The following is a 20047-nucleotide window of genomic DNA, read 5'->3' on the forward strand; positions in this document are numbered from 1 at the left end:
TGGGGGAACCCCGGGCACATCCAGGACTCCGCTCTGTCCCCATCATGTGACCTCTGATGGGTCCATCAAGGCCTCGTGGTCTCCTCCACGTGGGAGGCCAGAGTGGATCCCACAGTTCCTGACATGCATGTTCACTCCGTTTTCCTGAGTGTCATGCCAAGGTCTCAGTGGTCACATTTAGGAACGTCTTGATTAAATAAGATGCAATGGGCTTCTATGTCGTGGGCCTCCTCGGAGCCTCTAGTTTGGAAGTGGCTCTCATGAACTTACCGTGGGGCGCGATCATTGGCAGCACTGACTTTTTGTTTGGGGAAAATCACGATCTATGGCCTAAGACGGCTTCTCGCATCTGCATTCCAAAATAGGGTTTCAGAGCTTCGTGCTCTCATTTAAAGCAGTTTTTTGTCTGTATGACTCAGTGGTGTCTTTCCCAGGAACCTCCTGCCTTAGCTCTTCTCAGGATGAGACGAAAAAATCCCTTTTGGGTTTCGGGGGCCGAGTGAGTGTGCAGAGTTGTTGACTTTTGGATTTTAGCTTCCCTGGCCCACGCAGTTCACTGCGCTCCCACAAAGACCGCTCCTGACTTTTCCTCCGTGGGCCTCACTCCCTGGCCCTCTCATCCTGCCTCTCCTGCCCGCGTGCTGTGTCTGTGCTCTCTCCTGCCCAGGTGCTGTGTGTGTGCCCTCTCCTGCCCGGGTGCTGTGTGTGTGTCCTCTCATCCTGTCCGGGTGCTGTGTGTGTGTCCTCTCATCCTGCTTGGGCGCTGTGTGTGTGTCTTCTCCTGCCCAGCCGCTGTGTGTGTGTCCTCTCATCCTGCCCGGCCGCTGTGTGTGTGTCCTCTCATCCTGCCTGGGTGCTGTGTGTGTGTCCTCTCCTGCCCGGGCGCTGAGTGTGTGTCCTCTCCTGCCCGGGTGCTGTGTGTGTGCCCTCTCATCCTGCCTGGGTGCTGTGTGTGTGCCCTCTCATCCTGCCTGGGTGCTGTGTGTGTGCCCTCTCATCCTGCCCGGGTGCTGTGTGTGTGTCCTCTCCTGCCTGGGTGCTGTGTGTGTGCCCTCTCATCCTGCCCGGGTGCTGTGTGTGTGCCCTCTCATCCTGCCTGGGTGCTGTGTGTGTGCCCTCTCATCCTGCCCGGGTGCTGTGTGTGTGTCCTCTCCTGCCTGGGTGCTGTGTGTGTGTCCTCATCCTGCCCGAGCACTGTATGTGTGTCCTCTCTTGCCTGGGTGCTGTGTGTGTGTGTCCTCATCTTGCCCGGGCGCTGTGTGTGTGTCATCTCCTGCCTGGGAGCTGTGTGTCTGTCCTCTCCTGCCTGGGAGCTGTGTGTGTGTCCTTTCCTGCCTGAGCACTGTATGTGTGTCCTCTCTTGCCTGGGTGCTGTGTGTGTGTGTCCTCATCCTGCCCGGGCGCTGTGTGTGTGTCGTCTCCTGCCTGGGAGCTGTGTGTGTGTCCTCTTCTGCCTGGGAGCTGTGTGTGTGTCCTCTCCTGCCCGAGCACTGTATGTGTGTCCTCTCCTGCCTGGGTGCTGTGTGTGTGTCCTCTCATCCTGCCTGGGTGCTATGTGTGTGTCTTCTCCTGCCCAGGTGCTGTGTGTGTGTCCTCTCCTGCCTGGGTGCCGTGTGTGTGTCCTCTCATCCTGCCTGGGTGCTATGTGTGTGTCTTCTCCTGCCCAGGTGCTGTGTGTGTGTCCTCTCCTGCCTGGGTGCTGTGTGTGTGCCCTCTCATCCTGCGTGGGTGCTGTGTGTGTCCTCTCCTGCCTGGGTGCTGTGTGTGTGTCCTCTCCTGCCCGGGTGCTGTGTGTGTGTCCTCTCATCCTGCCTGGGTGCTATGTGTGTGTCTTCTCCTGCCCGGGCGCTGTGTGTGTGTCCTCTCCTGCCTGGGTGCTTTCTGTGTCCTCTCATGCCTGGGTGCTGTGTGTGTGTCCTCTCATCCTGCCTGGGTGCTGTGTGTGTCCTCTCATGCCCGGGTGCTGTGTGTGTGCCCTCTCCTGCCCGGGTGCTGTGTGTGTGTCCTCTCCTGCCTGGGTGCTGTGTGTGTGTCCTCTCCTGCCCGGGTGCTGTCTGTGTGTCCTCTCATCCTGTCTGGGTGCCATGTGTGTGTCCTCTCCTGCCCGGGTGCTGTGTGTGTGTCCTCTCATCCTGCCTGGGTGCTGTGTGTGTGCCGTCTTATCCTGCTTGGGCGCTGTGCGTCTGTCCTCTCCTGCCCAGGTGCTGTGCGTGTCCTCTCCTGCCTGGGTGCTGTGTGTGTGTCCTCTCCTGCCTGGGTGCTGTGTGTGTGCCCGTCTCATCCTGCCCAGGCGCTGTGTGTGTGTCCTTTCCTGCCCGGGTGCTGTGCGTGTGTACTCTCCTGCCCGGGTGCTGTGTGTGCGCACAGGGACACAGTCATGTCCGCGCCTCCTGCAATCAGATGCCCGCGTGGGGAGTCTCACCTTGGAAACTGAGGGGAAACTGACTGTGGGCCCTCTGTTCCCGAGTGAGATGCCTTCTCCCCACTTTCTGCAGAATTTGTGAAGGGGTGGTGCCTGCGTTTCCAGGTCAACTAAACCTGAGGGTCTGCTTCAGTGATGGCAGCGATGGGATGGCCCGAGTCTGAGCTGGCTGCCCCGTGTCCCCTGGGTAACAGGAGCCCCGCCTCCCTCCACAGGCCTTGTGAATGGTGGTGGCTGGGATAGAGGTGGCCCCGTGTGTGGACCATGGCCTGCCCCATTCCTTTCACACAGAGCAGTGTGGCCCTGGGCCCAGGGCTCCTGCGTCCGATGGCTTCTACTTCAGGTCCTGCCCTGCGGCCCCGACGTCTTCTCTCCCGTCCCCTCCACCGGCGCCCGTGAAGGCAGGTGCAGTCAGATGTGTCCACCCCGAGGCGTGTGGGTCTGTCTCCCCGAAGTCGGGAGAGCTCAGTAGAGCTGTCAGTCACAGTTTTAAAGGACGATTCATGCTCTTTCCTTTCCACCAACCCTCTCCCGCTCACCCACAGAGCCCGACCTGCCACACACACGGCTCCCAGGTGAGCTCCGTCCCCGCCCCGCCCAGCCACCAAGGTCACCTTCCGAAGGAACCATGAGAGCCTGTGAGGCTCTGCCTCAGAATCCCTTGTTGCCTCCTAACTTTTATTTTGAACAACACCTCAACTCCCTTTTTAATGTTCCGCTCCCTCCTGAACGCCCTCCGCTCACCTCTCTGCCTGCCCCTCCACCCCCCCGCCCCATCCTTCTGGGCAGATGCTGCTGCTGTCCCCTGCCTGTCCACCTTGTCCGTGCCTTTCCTGGGACGTCTGTGCTCGCTCCCCAGATTACTATTTAACATCCTGCTTGTCCTTCAAGGTTCAGGCCAGATGGCATTACGTGGCGTCTCCTCTGTGGGCCCCGGGCTGTCACGCTGGATGGCAGAGTGTGTGCCTCTGTAGCTGACGTGGAAGAGCCAGTGTCTTTCTGAGGGCCCGTGCAGGCCAGTGCTGGCGTGGAAGAGCCGGTGTCCTCCCGAGGGCCCGTGCAGGCCAGCGCTGACGTGGAAGAGCCGGTGTCCTCCCGAGGGCCCGTGCAGGCCAGTGCTGTCCCTGCAGTCTTGATATCTGACGCACATGCTCATTCCCTCTCCCACCCTTGTGGGCTCAGGGTCCTTGACACTAGTTCAGGGCTGGGGGTTAGGTCACCTGCCCTCATGTTCTCAGGAAAGTGGATGGAAGCTGGCTTTGAACCCAGGCCTACCCGGCCCCCAAGTCTGAATTCTTTCCCATGAAGACCTTGCACTCGTGTGTCTGTGCACTTGCTACAGCTTCCTTGTGTGAGGATCACCTGTAAATGCCGTGCTCCCAAAGTGTTTGTGTCTATTCTGCAGGCAGAGCCAAGTTCATAGTCACTCAGGGACCTACATACAGGGGACTCAATACCCATGGATTTTAGTGTTTTCCTGAAAGATAATACAGATTTGCTCATAACTTTTGTGCCTGAAAGGAGATGTAACAGAGCTGTAGCTGAAGTCAAGGTTTCAATATTGAAACTGGGATAAAATAGACCATTGTTATTTCATCTAAGTAATTTCTGTTCACCTATATACAATTAAGAAAGTATATTCGCTGTGTGCATGTGACAGGTCGTTACTACCAAACACCACATGATCTCATTCGTAAGTGGGAGTTGAACAATGAGAACACATGGACATAGAGGGGAATGTCACACACTGGGGCCTGTCGGTGGGTGGGGGGGAAGAGGGGAGGGAGAGCATTAGAACAAATACCTATTGCATGCGGGGCTTAAAACCTGGATGATGGATTGATGGTTGCAGCAAACCACCATGGCACCTGTATACCTATGTAAGCTGCACGTTCTGCACATGTATCCCAGAACTTAGTAAAATTAAAAAAAATTTTTTTTAATTCTCAAAAGTAAAAATGTCATCTGTAAAACATTTGCCAAGGGTAGCTTTTGAAGTAAAAGTTGCTGGCGTGCAAGGCCAGAGCTGGCTTTGTTTATGGAAGGGTCCACTGGCTCTGGTGTGGTCAAGCGGCGTCATCTTAAAGTTGTAGTTTTGTTGTTGCTGATGTTGAATCTTTTTAACTGCATGGTTGAGACCCTGTGGGTGTAACAGCTTCTCTCTGTCTCTGTTTTCAGAGTCGCAGTGCACGCTCTGCGGGGAGCCGGAAGGTGAGTACCTGACATGCTGCCTGGGGTGGGCGGGGGCCGCGCGGCTCACAGGTGTGTGGCTGGCAACAGTCTACCATGAAACGTGTTGGAGAGAACCTTGAACATTGAGGACGCAGTCTGTGTGCTGTTTGATAGGAACGTGAGTAAAATAATTGAAGCAAAGTGCAAGGTGAGCGTTAGGACTCAGCAGCTCGTCTCTGAAGAAGAATTGGCTTTACCATCAAATTGCAATATTTTCTTTATTTTTGTTTGTTCTGGATTGACAAATTTCCATCAGTTTCTGTGAGGTAACAGATGCTGATACAGGCTTGTTGGCTTTAAGTGCATTCGCCCAAGGTGCCAATGAGCCGCAGGCTGAGTCGGATCTGGGAAGCCCTTCCCGACTGTCGGTGGCTCAGCCTGAGAGTGTGTGGGGCCTTTGCTGGCTGTGAGTGATGTTCATCAGTGTTGCTTATTTAACTTTCTACGCAAGTCTCCTGTGTTTAAAACACGCGGCAAAGTAGGGCCCCTGAGTCTGTCATTTGTTGACTGTTTGGAACTAGTGAAAGCCAGCATTGGTGTAATATTTTTCAATGGTCTAATTAGAAAGAATAAGGACAATGTGATAAACACCTGACCCCTATTAGCGGGGACTCTGAATTAACTGGAGCTTTGATTTCGAGGTCTGCTTTCAGCAGCAAGAGGCAAATTGGCTAGAAAAAGAGTCAGCCTTGGGGAACTCGGGACACAGCCAACCCCAGGAATGTGCCTTTGGGTCAGAGCCCAGCCCAGCTCTGCTTCCACAGGGAGAGATGGGGAGAGATGATCCCAACGTGTGACTCTAAAAGCCGAATACTAAAGGCTTCTGTATACTCAGGGTCACAGAAGCTCAACCGTGTCCATTGGAAAGGCTCTTACTCGTAATTTAAAACACAAAAATGAAAAAGTGAGTATAGGGTTAACTTGGAACTTCTATGAAACACTTAATTCCCTTATTTGGTGGTTAAGGGAAGTATGACAAGGTTTTAAAACTTTTTCCTGTGTCATTTAGTAGTCATGGAAAGCACAGATATATCCATGGTAAAGTCAGTCACTGTACATTTTTAAATCATAAGCTTCACTTTTATGCAAAACATCAGACTTTGGACACCTGGCATTTCCAGAGTCAAAAGTAATGTGATGTTTTACAGTCAGGTGGGTGGGGGCTGTTCCCGGGTGGAGCCTGGGATGCTGGTCTGGGTGTGGCAGAGGCCGCCTGTGATGGGAAAGCCACAGGTCCTTTCCCCTGGAGACCCCAAGGCTGCTGCAGAGGATGATGAAATTCTGCAGCCTGTCTGTTGGGTGTTTGAAAGCTTTATTATTTCTTATTATAACTTCCATTGCCATTCCCACCAGGGAATGCATATCATGCTTTGAGTTCATTTTTCATTCTCTTTCCCCCAACCCCTCACCGAGAGTTTTCAGTGTGTGAGAGAAATTGTGAAATATAAAACCTTGTAAATAGTGGTTTAAACACATTGCATCTTGCTCTTCGTCTACTTGTTTCTAATAACAAATGTCTGCCTCTGCCAAGGACAGTGGCCCATGTGGGGTGTGTTTTGTTGTCACATGCCACTTACTGCTGTCATAAAAGAAGAGTTTTTTCCCAGTAAATCTGAATCCATGATGTTTGGAGGCGAGGGTTTGGACTGAATGAAGGCTGGTAAATCACCCCGGAGTCCTGGCTCAGGGATGGATATTGGATGATTTCTGGGGACATAAAAGAAGAGTTTTTTCCCAGTAAATCAGAATCCATGATGTTTGGAGGCGAGGGTTTGGACTGAATGAAGGCTGGTAAATCTCCCCGGAGTCCTGGCTCAGGGATGGATATTGGATGATTTCTGGGGACATTCTAGGTCATGGGATTGACTCTAGAGGGGACCTTGGCTGGCGCAGGCTGACTTGAGGCGACTGTAGTCGTCCAGAGCATGGGGAGGTGATCTGGCCCCATCAGGGCTCTCCAGCCTTAGGTCTGTGACCTCTCAGGCCCAGCACCACTGACGTCAGGCCAGAGTGCGTGGTCCTGGACAATCCCAGGGTCACTTCCCCTGGGCACCTGCCTTTGGCCTCCATATCACACATACTGTCGGCTCCCAGCAAATGTGTGACAGTGGCGTGAGGAGGGGAGGAAACGTGTTCGTTCCTGCTCTAGAAGGCAGGTCAGCTTCCAGATCTTTAAAACGAGACAGACCGGGAGGGCTGGTCAACTTCCAGATCTTTAAAACCAGACAGACTGGGAGGGCAGGTCAGCTTCCAGATCTTTAAAACCAGACAGACTGGGAGGGCAGGTCAGCTTCCAGATCTTTAAAACGAGACAGACTGGAAGGGCAGGTCGGCTTCCAGATATTTAAAACAAGACAGAATGGGAGGGCAGGTCAGATTCCAGATATATAAAATGAGACAGACTGGGAGGGCAGGTCAGCTTCCAGATATTTAAAGCGAGACAGACTGGGAGGGCAGGTCAGCTTCCAGATCTTTAAAATGAGACAGACTGGGAGGGCAGGTCAGCTTCCAGATCTTTAAAACGAGACAGACTGGGAGGGCAGGTCAGCTTCCAGATCTTTAAAACGAGACAGACTGTACTCCAAATAAGAAGACTCCCCCTGTCCGGTGGGGAGCCCCGCATAAGTCGGGGGGCTCTCCAGCCGAGGGTGGGGGTGGGAGGGGGGGCTGGGCAGTGGGGGGTGGGGCTCCCTGCTCTGGCCTGCCCCTCCTCACTGGGCTGCGGTTCTCTGAAGCCACCCCGTGTTTCAGATGTACGAGTGCAGTTGCTCCAGATCAGGGAGGAGGAAGGGTTTGTGGCGAGGTCTCAGCTGTGCTTTAGTTTTCCCAAAGCACTGTCATATGAATATTCATATATTTTTAAAATCATTTAAGTAATTAGTCTAAGTGAGAGCTGGCTGGGCGCAGAGAGTGGAATCTGAAATCAGCCTTTTTGTTTGGTAATTTCTTCAGCAGCTTCTGCGAGTTAACTCATAAATGTCATGGCACAGAAATGACCAGCCAGAGGCTGGTGGCAGCGTGTGCGGCTCGGATGTGGGTGTGCAGCGCTCATTACATCCAGAAGGTTAAGGCACCACCTCATTTAGCATCTCGCTTTCTTGTCAGAAAGCTGTTAACAGCCTTCCCTGGCTAAGCCAGTGAAGTGGGAAACACCTATTTGCATTTTAATGGTTAGTTCTGTCTGTGAGAGCTACTTCTTTGGATACAGATGGAATAATTAGCCCAGTCTCAGATGATAATATCTGTCAAACAAACGCAACCAGGGACAAAGTTTACAGGATGCTGGAGACCTCAGAATTCTACAGTTGGGGAATCTCTACGATGGTGTGGCCTGTTTTTCAGAGAACTTAAAATTTTAATTGTATATAAAATGTAGATCATGATCTCAATATGCAAATTACTTACATGTTCTGTATTACGAGGTTTTGAAACTTGTGAGACTATGTTTTCATGAGATAAAAATGTTTAAAAGATTGATTATTATTTACTGGTACCTTTGTTCCTACCAAGAAGATACAGACAGCCCAACTAAATCCTTGAAATGCAGCGTGGCGTGAAAATGGAGCGGCATTTTAGTTAACGAGGGTCTGGATGCCATTCACAGGAATGCAGTTTCTACAGGGTTCTGCTTTGCAGAGACCTCTCCTGATAATAATAATAAATTTACTCAGAACAATCTCAGTTGTCATAATAATTTGCCAATTTAATACTAAGACGGTCTCAATTTATATCATTTTCTTAGTGATTCCTGTTACCTTTTAGATAAAGGCAGTAACCAGTTACTATATAGCAATAAGAGGGCAGGCTGGTTTATCTTGACATAGCAAAAATCCGTGTGCGATATAATCTGTCAATTTAATATCGGAAAATAATTTAAGAGTACCTGATTCTTTTTAAGCTTTATTGACAGATGCATGATACTACTCGCTTTTCAACTAGAACACAGGAAAATTTATGGACATTGGGTGGGGCCACAGATGTCAGTTCATGGATTTGTCTGTTGGTTTACATTTTTATGGCTTGATTTGTCACCACAGCAGATAGATTTTCCGATGTGGGAAGACAGATAATGATGCCTGGTGGGGCCGGGAGAATGTATTTGAAATCCACAGTGACGTATTAACAGTGTCTTCGATCTGTGTTATTTGCCCCCATTAAATCTAAGAAATAAAATCAGCTATTAATATTATTATATAAATGTAGCATTAGAAAATGCTACAAAAATGTTGGGATACGTTGACATGAACGATTCTTTAGCAATCGAGGCCTCAAGATTGGAACTTTAAGAAGCAATAGATGATTGTGATGGCAGAAATATATATTGGATTATTTGGGTAATGTTTTAGAAATTCCAGGCTAAAAGCAAAATTCAAGTCTTAAAAAAACTAAGTAGTTTAAGGTAAGAGATTTTCTTTCTAAATCTGTTTTCATTTTTGTTGTTTTTACTTTGGTTATTGGAAAACACAATCTGCATGCTGCCCTTGGAATTTTGGGAAGACCTACAGAATCTTATATTTTAGAATTTTGGGAAGACATACAGAATCCTATATTTTATCACAACTAGGAGGAACCCAGGCCACCTCTTCTCCCTTCATAACTCATAATCAAGATATTGGGAAAGTTTTCGTGCAGTTAGTAGCATTAAGTTCTTGCTTTTTAAATACAAGATATTCAAGATTTTCCCCACAAGTGACTCGAAACAATGCAGTCTCCTTAGTGGGTTTTTGTTTTTAACCTTAATTGAATATGTGTTGTCTTAACATTTTAAGACCTCTTAACAATTCTGGGGAAAAAATGATAGGATTGCTTCTTGAAATTGCATATTGAAGAGCTTAGAAATAACCCCAGCCCTGTTCTCTGCTCTCTGTGGAGAGGGAGGGCACCACTGTTTCAAAGACAGCTGCCACCCTGTCTCTCTGAGACCACAGCTCTTTAATTGAATGCTTTGTATAAAAATGATCTTTTCTGATTGCTATTTGTGGTTTTTAGTGATTATTGTTGCTTAAGAACTAAAAAGTTCCACTAATATTTGAAGGAAAACAGACTCAGCTCTAGCCAGTCTGTCTTCTAGGACCTGAACATGGTTAGGGTTTTGGTGGAAATCAGAAAACAGTCTCTAGGGTAAGAGGGAGAATGCTGCTCCTCTCTTAGTCTAGATGGAAGACTGAGTTGACCCCTGTCCCATGCCCACTAAGAATAAATAAAATGCTGTACAATATGTAACACAATTTATTTCAGTGCATAGTTGAGCTTGGATGAAAACAAAAGAAAGGGGATCCCCTGAGCCCCAAGAACTAAGAAGGAATTCCAACCAGGGGATCAGCACGAGTTCCAGCTGCAGTCGCTCCTGAGATGCAATCCCAGAAAGGGGCCTGGGATGGGGCTGGGGTTGCGGTCTGTGCCCTGTCAGGTAGGGGTGGTGGAAACACTGTAATTGAGCCCCTTGAATCAAACCCAGACACTCACCCAGCTTCCCCGTTTGTGAGAAAAGAACTGGAAAAACATGCCTGAGAAAGTGTGGAGGAAGCTCATCGCACATCCAGGGCCATGGATAGGATATAAAGTTACCAATGAGAAATGCACACTCCAGGTATGGATCTGAGATCTGAATTTATACTACCTGTATGTTGCAGAAGGACCACATGATGACATTCATAGGAAAGTTGTTCCAGAATCAGTTATGATTCTGTCAGAACCTAAGGGCTCTGGCAGAATCAAAATCACAAACTATGTACACAGAATTCTTGACAACATAGGGGTCAAAGGACTTCTCCACTATAAAATAGTACCCACTTTAGATAAACATACAGAAAAGAGCATAACCCATATAAAGAAACTTTAAGGAAGTGATATGGTTTTGCTGTGTCCCCACCCAAATCTCATCTTGAATTGTCACTCCCATAATCACCACGTGCCATGGGAGGGACCCAGTGGGAGGTAATTGAATCATGAGGGTGAGTCTTTCCCGTGCTGTTCTCGTGATAGTGAATAAGCCTCATGAGATGTGATGGTTTCATAAAGGGCAGTTCCCCTGCACATGGTCTCTTGCCTGCTGCCATGTAAGACATGCCGTTGCTCCTCCTTTGCCTTCCACCATGATTGTGAGGGCTCCCCAGCCAAGTGGAAATCTGAGTCCATTAAACCTCTTTTTAAAAATAAATTACCCAGTCTCGAGTATTTCTTCATAGCACTATGAAAATGGAATAGTACAGGGAATAAGAAGATACAACAGGAGAATGAACAACCAAAGCCCTAGAAGTAATAGACTTGCCTAGATATTGGATACGTTTATAATTATTAAATAGATTTTCAAAAGAAACAGGAGCCATAATGTAAGAAGTATCTATTATGAGGAAAGAAAGACTTAAAAACAAACAGAATATCTGGAAACAAGATGGGTCATTTAAATTGACCACTCTGTGGATATATTATTATAAAGTAGATTAGACAGAGCTGAAAAGAGAGTTGCCAAACTGGGAAGTAGATACTAGGATATCACCTAGAACTTTGCATAAAAAATATAAAGGGAAATAGAAGAATCAAGTTGCGTGGAAGATGGCTTGAGAAAGACAAACACATGTCTGGAATTAAATGAGAAATTAAAAAAGAATGGGGAGAAAGGAGAAGCAGCATTAGTCAAAGAAGTAAAGGCCAAGATTTTCCTAGAAGTGAAGAAATATACTGGGCCTCTTTGATCTAAAGACTCCTAAGACTGAAGCCAGACAAGTACAGACACTCCCATGCCTTCTAAAGTGAAACCACGGAATAGGAGACAAAGAATCAATAAAGCCAGAGAGAATACAGACAAGTGTACTTGATTTTCAGGAGAGTTTTCGTAGTCAATACTGATGCCAGATGATGTTGGAATAATGTCTAAGAATTTCTGAGACAATAAAGAGAGTGAATAGAATGCAAAATATTTAATATAAAGGTGAATAGAAGAGTAGACAGGTAGGGGAGGGGAGAGAAAAAGGCTCATACAACACAAAGCACATGGTAGGATGACTCAGGTATTTTTATAGATAAAATCATTGTTTAATGATAAACGGAATCTGCTCCAAGAAGCTATAAGAACCATCTACTTTATAATAGATTCAAGATATGCAAAGAAAAAAATGATTACAAGGAGAAACCAACAAATGAAAAATTATGACAGGGGACACCCTTGTCTGAGGACATAGAACCTCACTGAAGGGAGTGGGTGTAACCCAGGAAAAGCAGAGACGCTCTGAAAGGGAGGTTTCCCTGGCCCCCAGCATTCCCAACAGGGACGCTGTCTACTATCTGCGAAAGGGGGTTCTTGCCAAGTTCACAAAGTTTAATTTTTTGCTTGACTTCAGTCCCCTTTTGGCTTATGTGGCATTTTAGCAAGCACTTACCCAAGCAGCCATGCTTTTATTGGAAATATTTGCAGGACGCTTCTGGTTTCCAGATGAGCGCAGATTCACCTGGGTGATACTCTGTCTACGGGGCAAGGTGTGGAGCAGGAAGCAGCATCTCTGCTGTCCCTTCCCGGGGTCCTCAGAAGCTCCAAGAATCCCTCTCCCCATCAACCTGCTCTTTATGGCCAGCCATAAATAACTATTACCAAAGCATAAGTCAGATCATATTATTTGCTTCCTTAAATCCTGTCAGTTCCTCCTCTGTTGGATAAATTCCACATTCATAATCTTGCCCCTACTGGTCTGTCCAATGCTGTTTAACCACATATGAAATATGCACCCTCTGTTCTCAGTCACCACGCACTGACGTACGCCTCCGTGGGTGCACCCGGGACGTTGAAGGCTTTACAATAAAAGCATGATACAGTGAGGGGGGAGGGGAGTGTTGAGTGCAGACCCAGTGTGTGTATATGTGTTTGTGTGTGTGTTTTATGAACAAAGAGAAAGCTATCGAGGAATACTTTGGAATACATGCCCTCTCCCCATTGTGTGTGCAGCTTCTGCTTGGATAATGAATGGCTTGCTCATTAATGCGTTATCCCAGCAGAAGATGCACACTCAGTGGGGAGAGGGGATGTGTAATAGTTTGTATTAAAAATAAAAAGGGCGCGGTGGCTCACGCCTATAATCCCAGCACATTGGGAGGTCTAGGTGGGCAGATCACAAGGTCAGGAGGTCAAAACCATCCTGGCTAACATGGTGAAATCCTGTCTCTACTAAAAATACAAAAACAAAATTAGCCAGGCGTGGGGGTGGGTGCCTGTAGTCCCAGCTACCCCTGAGACTGAGGCAGGAGAATGGCGTGAACCAGGGAGGCGGAGCTTGCAGTGAGCCAAGATTGCACCACTGCACTCCAGCCTGGGCAACAGAGCGAGACTTCATCTCAAAATAAATAAATAAATAAAATAAAATAAAATAAAATAAAATAAAATAAAAAGGTCTGGGTGCAGTGGCTCACGCCTGTAATTCCAGCACTTTGGGAGGCCGAGGCGGTGGATCACTTGAGGTCAGGAGCTTGAGACCAGTCTGACCAACATGGTGAAACCCCATCTCTACTGAAAATACAAAAATTAGCCAGGTGTGGCGGCGGGCGCCTGTAACCCCAGCTAATTGGGAGGCTGAGAATCGCTTGAACCCAGGAGGTGGAGGTTGCAGTGAGCTGAGATTGTGCCACTGCACTCCAGCCTGGGAGACAGAGCAAAATTCCCGCTCAAAATAAAATAAAATAAAATAAAATAAAATAAGATAAGATAAGATAAGATAAGATAAGATAAGATAAATATTAAATAGGTCTACAAAAAGGCCTCCAGGGTCAGCTCAGACACCATTTCCGTGATGAGACGCCCACGTCCTCCGTGTCGCTGGCCCCCTCCGTAGCAACTCTGTTGGACTTCCTTTGCCATCCCTTCCCTTTTTCTCCTCTGCAGATGTCTGTTGGGGCAGAATGTTTGTCCCACGCTGAGCTCAGTGCTGGTTCTATGGGAATTCTGAGCATGGGAACTGGTTTTTCCTCCATCACACCCACCCTAGTCCTCTGCATTTCATAGCCCTGTAGTTTTGAATCAAATACATAAAGCTGGCTTCATGGATGTCTGTTCTTATTACAATATAAGTGCTGCATTTAGAATCAGAGGTGAAGCCACAGCTATTCAATATGATAAGATAGAGTGAAACGGGGATGAATTGAACATACCATCTGGTGTCTGAGATTGCGACAATTACCCATTTATGCAGAATGATATAAAATTCACAAATAAACCCTAGTTTGCAAATTTCTTTCTTTTTAAGAAATAATATCCAATATCAGAGGTTCAGGTATTCTGGCATTGAAACAATTTTACCTCCATGATAGTCTCAGGAATACATAAATATTTTATATTTTTGGTCACTGGGTAATTTAAACATCAGGCCGTGGGTTTAGTGTGATTGGAGAAAATACTCCCTATTTTCTTGTTGCTAAACATGCCTAATTGTTGAATTTTGAAGCATATTTGGGAGATGGAAATATATGCAATTGCATGTTGAGGAAAAGAAATATTAGAATTATTCTCAGTAATTCATAATAAACTCATTTGCAATATTGAAATAATTGGCCAAAGAGAGAAATTTAATGTGGGATAGCGTCTGACAGCTGTCTTCCGCGTTAGAGTGTCGCCATCTCCAAAGCAGGAACTTTGTTTTAAAATGAGAACATCATTCGTGCCATTTCACAAGAAGCATAAAATGCCCCCAATTTAACATCTTTCCGCTGATCTGCTGAGAGTCAAGTATCCTTAAGAGAATTCTTATCATCTTCCTTAGCTCCAGGAATACAAAGATGTTGGGTGGTTATTAGATTTCCTGAGAGTTACATGTCTCTGCAGAAGCCACATTATCTCAACTTACTACTTGTTTCTTTAAAAATTTAAAAACATTTCCCAATTATGCACCTCATGTTGCACACTGGGAAATGTCAGCATTGTTCTGGGGTCTCACTCTGACTTGGCAGGTGCTAAGACATTTTCAAAGACAAAGAAGCTTTTATTTGACTTAGACCTTCAGGCTAAGTCGGCTTTGTGGCAGAATGACATGGCCAGAGCCAACGGCAGTGGAACCCTCAGCTCTATCTGCAGCTGATTCTGCAGGTAGCTCAGCCGTAGTCCTTGGTCTGAGATGAATCTTGGAGGGAGACCAGAGACAAGGAACAGAATTCCCTGATGAACCAATAGGGCATACAGATGTGAATTCATCAAGTCTAAATATTCTGGGCTCCTAAGCAACTGTACATTGGCTCACCCCTTCATCGGTGGGCCCGTCTGCCACCTCTTCTCCGGGCCATGTTCGTTGCTGCTTCCTTCCCTGCCCTTCTCCTGGATTTTCTTGATTTTCCTGCCTGCATTTCACAGCAGTAAATGAGTCCCAGGACACCATGCTGGGTGCCGGGAGGAGGAGCCAGAGGGTGTTCCAGCCTGGAGCTCCCAGCCTGCAGAGGCTCCTGGTACGGGGAGGATGGGACCTGCTGGAAAGACCGCCCCGTGTGGCACGGCGTGGCTCTGTGGCTTCACACAGCAGTTGCGGTGAGCCTAGGTCAGAGCCATCCACCTTCCTGTAACACTTGCTCCAGGGCTTGTGTTTACACATTTGAGCTGAGTTTTAGATCTTCTTTGTCTGTTTATGTGACTGGGAGAAGTAAGACCCCCTCAACCCTGAAACCCCGTATTATTGTGGCTGTGAATCCCTAATTGTGCTCTCCTCTCTGATTGGTACATCTAACAATAATGTTACCCATTACGAAGGAGTGAAATGTCTGCAGCACCCACCTTTGTAAAATGACCTTGGAAGGAAAACACCCCAGAATAGAATGACTGTGCACCCCCCTCCCCCAGCCAATCTTGTGATCAGATGACCCAGAACTCAAGCTGTGAACCTAGAAATAAGCAAAAAAGGCTGGCGAGGATTTTTAGACACTGACATTGTATTTTTAAAGCTAGAGAATCACCGTGGTGTAATGGGCGCGCCAGAAGCCCTGGAACCAAAAAGGGAAACTCGCTGAGTGACTCATTTTCTAAAATAAATTGAACTAAATCTTCATCTCCTCTTCATGGACCGTGGAGAGGCACATGCAGAATCCTGTGTGTGGAAGAAACTGTGCATCTTGAAACCGGTATTTTCCTGGGCGGGGAGCATTTTCATCACAGGCCTTGCCCTTCTCAACATACAGTAGCGGGTGGTCTTTTCCCATTTCCCTTGGGGTCCTGTTGACTGACCATGATGCAAAACTTTCTCCTGCTGGCCATGGGTTGCTTTGATTTTTAAAAACCAGGTGGGTCTTGTCTCACCAAGATGGGAAGCCGTGTGCAGGATGCTGTGTACAGCCAACAGCATGGGATTGAGAATATGAGAGCTGTGAACCGTATACACAGAAGGGACTTGGATCAACAGAGGAGCAACGTCTGCAGATGTCCTGGAGCAACAGCTCTGAAAAATGTCCAGAAATAGAAGGAAAAGTAGAACCTGTGATGTGGGCAATGGGGAGAATGAATGTGACTTTTGATCGTCACAGCCTCATTGACTTATAGGATGCAGAAGCATTTGTTTTGCTTTAAAAATCATTTTCAGTATATGTGTCCTCTGTTTCCACTCTTGCCTTACGTCCAAGATTGACTTTCCTCAGGAGAAATGCAGGCTCTAAGCCCAGCGGACAGAGTCAGGCCAGGAAGCAGGCACCACTGTCTTAACCTCTTTGCCATTAATTTGAAGTGGGGGCTTCTTAAGAACGTAACTTCTCTGACCCTGACGTTCTCCCAGTAAAATTTCCTTTGCCTTAAAATTGTGTGTCTCTGTGTGTGTCTCTCTATTTATGTCTCTGTGTGTGTCTCTGTGTGTGTGTGTGTGTCTCCCTCTCTCTTTGTGTCTCTCTGTGTGTCTACCTCTCTCTGTGTGTCTCTCTGTGTGTGTCTACCTCTCTCTGTGTGTCTCTGTGTGTGTGTGTGTCTACCTCTCTGTGTGTGTGTCTACAGAGTGAAACCTCTGCTGTCAGGGTCTGATTTTTATTTTCTAGATGTTCTTCGTAAATTTGGTTTCCACGACTGTATACACCGTTGACCTGCTACTTAGTAAAACTGTTTCTTATTGTTAGACGTGTTGCAAAAAGGTAGATGGGAAGTAATTTTTTAAATTTCAGAATTGTAATGACGGATGACCCATTTCCTAATATTGCAATTCTCAAATTCTTTCCCCACGTCTTCATGAAATAAGTCATAGTTAATTTTGGCAAACTAACCATTACCAAATTAAATGATTAAATAATTAATTAAATCATAAACCCACAAAAAAGAAAACATGTGAAAAGGAGAAAATAACATGAATTGGGAGTCAAGATTAGTGCCAAACAGGCCTTGGTAAAAATCCAGCTTTCTCCACCCAGCACTGAGAGACCTCCAGCCAGCGGTGTGACTTCATGGCATCTGGACTCCTCAGCCGGGGGGGTGCGCCCATTTCAATGCGATTCTGAAAATTATGCTCTTTAAGCACAATGCATGGCACACACTGGGGACATAGTGACTTCTGTTTTACTTTTATTCTGGAGACTTGACTTTATGAACCTCCTTGTGCATTTGTTGATTATTCACTTCATGTGTCTTGCCCCAAGCCCATTTATCAGGCATTATCTGAGTACCGAGGAAACACAGGCACGAACGAGATAGTTGTACATCCGAGAAACATCTGAAAATTCAATCAGTAGTTGCAATAAAGAGTTGTAAATACAGCAATGGTTGTACTCTAATGATGATGAATATTGATCTACTGTTTTATAAAAATGGTTCCCACAAGTGGTGAACTCATAGAAACAGGGTAGAGTGGTGTCTGCCAGGGCTCAGGGGGAGGGGAAATGGGACAATGTTGGTTGAAGGCTACAAACTTGTTGTTTAAGATGAATAAATTCTGGAGATCCAATTAGAATGATTTCTTTTTAATTTTTATTTATTTATGAATTTATTTTTTAAGAGACAGACTCTTGTTCTATCACCCAGGCTGGAGTTCAGTGGTGCAACCTCAGCTCACTGCAACCTCCACCGGGTTCAAGTCATTCTCCTGCCTCAGCTTCCCAACTAGCTGGGACTACAGGTGTGTGCCAACACACCCAGCTAGTTTTTGGATTTTTTTTAGTAGAGATGGGATTTCACTACACGTTGGCCAAGTTGGTCTCAAACTCCTGACCTCAGGTGATCCGCCTGCCTCAGGCTCCCAAAATGCTGGAATTACAGGCATGAGCAACCATGCCTAGCCTAGAATGATTTCATTATTCTCCGTTTTCTCAAATAAAAAATAAGAAAGTTGATGTAATCACATTTTAAAAGCAATTAGGATACCCTCATTTTAGGTAAAATGTAGGACAAATTGAATTTGAGTTGGTATTTCTGCAGTTAGAGATGGAAACATCAACTCATTTTATGTGAGTGAATGTAGACAATGCATAGCGGGTCCAGAGTGTGCAAGCATATTGTGGTAGGGGCCAAGGAATTTCCAAAAAGTGAGATTGAGCTGGAAAAGAAAGTTTTTATATATATAGATGTTTTATATATTTAGAAGTTTTGTATATAGAAGTTATGTACGTATCTATATTAAACATTTTATATATAGAAAACATATATATTACACATAAACGTTTTATATAGAATATATATTCACATCTGTGTTCCATATAAATATATCTATATATCATACAAATTCTGTAACATTTTAAACTTTGTTTTATGATCATGCCAAAGCAATGCAAATGATTTCAGCTGTGGAAGGGAATAATCAAGTGTGAAGCGCTGGACATGGGAGATTCGTTTGACAACTGGTGTGCAGGACCCTATGGGAAGGCCAGGCCTGAGGAGTGTGGTGTCAAGGTTTCAGGGTCTGTAGGACTCGGACCACGGGTGACTCTTCCCATCATGCAACAGACGGCTCTCTAGAGCTGTCAAAGAAGGTCCATGAGCTGCCGGCCTGCAAGTCCCTGTCACTGTTGTAAACATCTGTAGAGGCTTTGGGGGCAGAAGGGTGTGTAGTTTTCATCAGATTTTCATGGAGATTCATGACCACGTAAAAGGTGAAAAGAGGAGCTTCTGTGCCGTGGGTTATGGAACCTGGGAAGGAATGTTCGGAGTGTGCTGACATTCCAAAGCCATCTGGGTCCACCTCTGCCTTGAATATCTCCAACAAAGTCCATTTGACCACTGGGGTTGATCCTGGTCCGGGTCCTGAATTTTTACCTCAGGCCCATTCTTATGATAAAAATGAGTAAATAGTAGCTGTGGATAGCTATGCAGAGCTGTCTCTGGAAGGTGTTTGTCTGAGTGGACCTGGCCGGGTTAGTCTACAGGGGGGCCCTCCCACCAGCCACAAACACACATGCACCCTAATATCCAGTACTTGGGTGTGGAAAGAGGTGGGAGCAGTAGGAAGTCCGGGAGCCACGTGGGCTGCTCTGAGAGAGCCCTGCTGGGGACTTGAGTCCCTGTTGCCAGCTGAGCATTTGCTTGGGAGCATGAGGCACAGCTCACATCCCTAAATCACCCCAGGTCACACAGCTGGCTTATGGAGTGGAGACCCAGGGGGTCAATGTGCCTTTATGCCCCACCTTAACTTGACGAGTTTTATGCTCAAGATGGATGACCAGGAGTCTCGAGCTGCGGCAGTTCACGTGCTCAAGTGTGGATGGCCGGCAGGAACGTCCTGCTCTGCTGCTTCAGACGTGCCGTGACGGCTTTATCATGTGCAGAGGCAGCTCCATCCTTCCCAGTAGCCCCTGGCTCTGCACAAGCCCTTGGAGTTTACTGCAGGCATATTTGGCCTGAATTTGAATTTAATCCAAATTCTCCAGCCCATGTGGTACCTCTGCTCAAAGGTGCTTCTAATGAATCAGGATATCTGCTGCATGTTAAATTAAGATAAACTTGTTGTAGAATTCCCAGGGAGCTAAGTGGGATTCTGTTCAAAGAGCAAAAGGCTAGAATGACATTGGTGTAGAATTCCAAATGGGAGACTTTAAATGAAATTTATGGACTTTAATATCTTCATATATAGCCGGGAATCTGCTCTGACTCTGGACAATAAGGTGTGTGCTCACTAATGCTCTTTCTGATTTTGAAATCAGTTCCAAACCTGAGTCATTCAGTAACCATTTTTCATATATGAAAGTCTTGTCAATTTAAATAAAAGCTTTGAGATAAAATCATTAGAATTCTAACAGCGTGACGGCTCTGTTCAGCATATCGGAATTTGCAAGAGTCAGATTTTTTTACATTTATAGAAAATTTTAAAATTATATCTTAAATTTTTAACTTAATATTTTAATTTTAAAATAAATTATGTATTTATATTTCAAATAAATCTTAAACTTATTTAACAAATAAAATTATTTAAAATTGTGAACTCTTCCCCACCCACCATAAGTGTACTGGAATGACGCACGCATGACACA

The 20047-nt window shown here is 46.3% G+C and overlaps 1 protein-coding gene across 1 annotated transcript in view, besides 1 other annotated feature; it reads left to right on the top strand.

The window, feature by feature from the left end:
* Window positions 1-20047, top strand: part of DLGAP2 (DLG associated protein 2) — a 970849-nt gene that overhangs the window by 516623 nt on the left and 434179 nt on the right. The window contains exon 3 of the mRNA NM_001346810.2: window positions 4601-4633. Within this exon, the coding sequence (NP_001333739.1) occupies window positions 4601-4633 (33 nt within the window). The remainder of the gene's footprint in view (window positions 1-4600; window positions 4634-20047) is intronic.
* Window positions 302-980: an enhancer, noted in NCBI's record as "H3K27ac-H3K4me1 hESC enhancer chr8:1204552-1205230 (GRCh37/hg19 assembly coordinates)". NCBI's record gives its function as "activates a minimal SCP1, AML or CMV promoter by ChIP-STARR-seq in primed H9 embryonic stem cells {active_cell/tissue: H9 hESC(primed)}" and the evidence as "EXISTENCE:reporter gene assay evidence [ECO:0000049][PMID:30033119]".

Source organism: Homo sapiens, chromosome 8 (genome assembly GCF_000001405.40).
Source record: "Homo sapiens chromosome 8, GRCh38.p14 Primary Assembly".
Taxonomy (NCBI): Eukaryota; Metazoa; Chordata; class Mammalia; order Primates; family Hominidae; genus Homo; species Homo sapiens.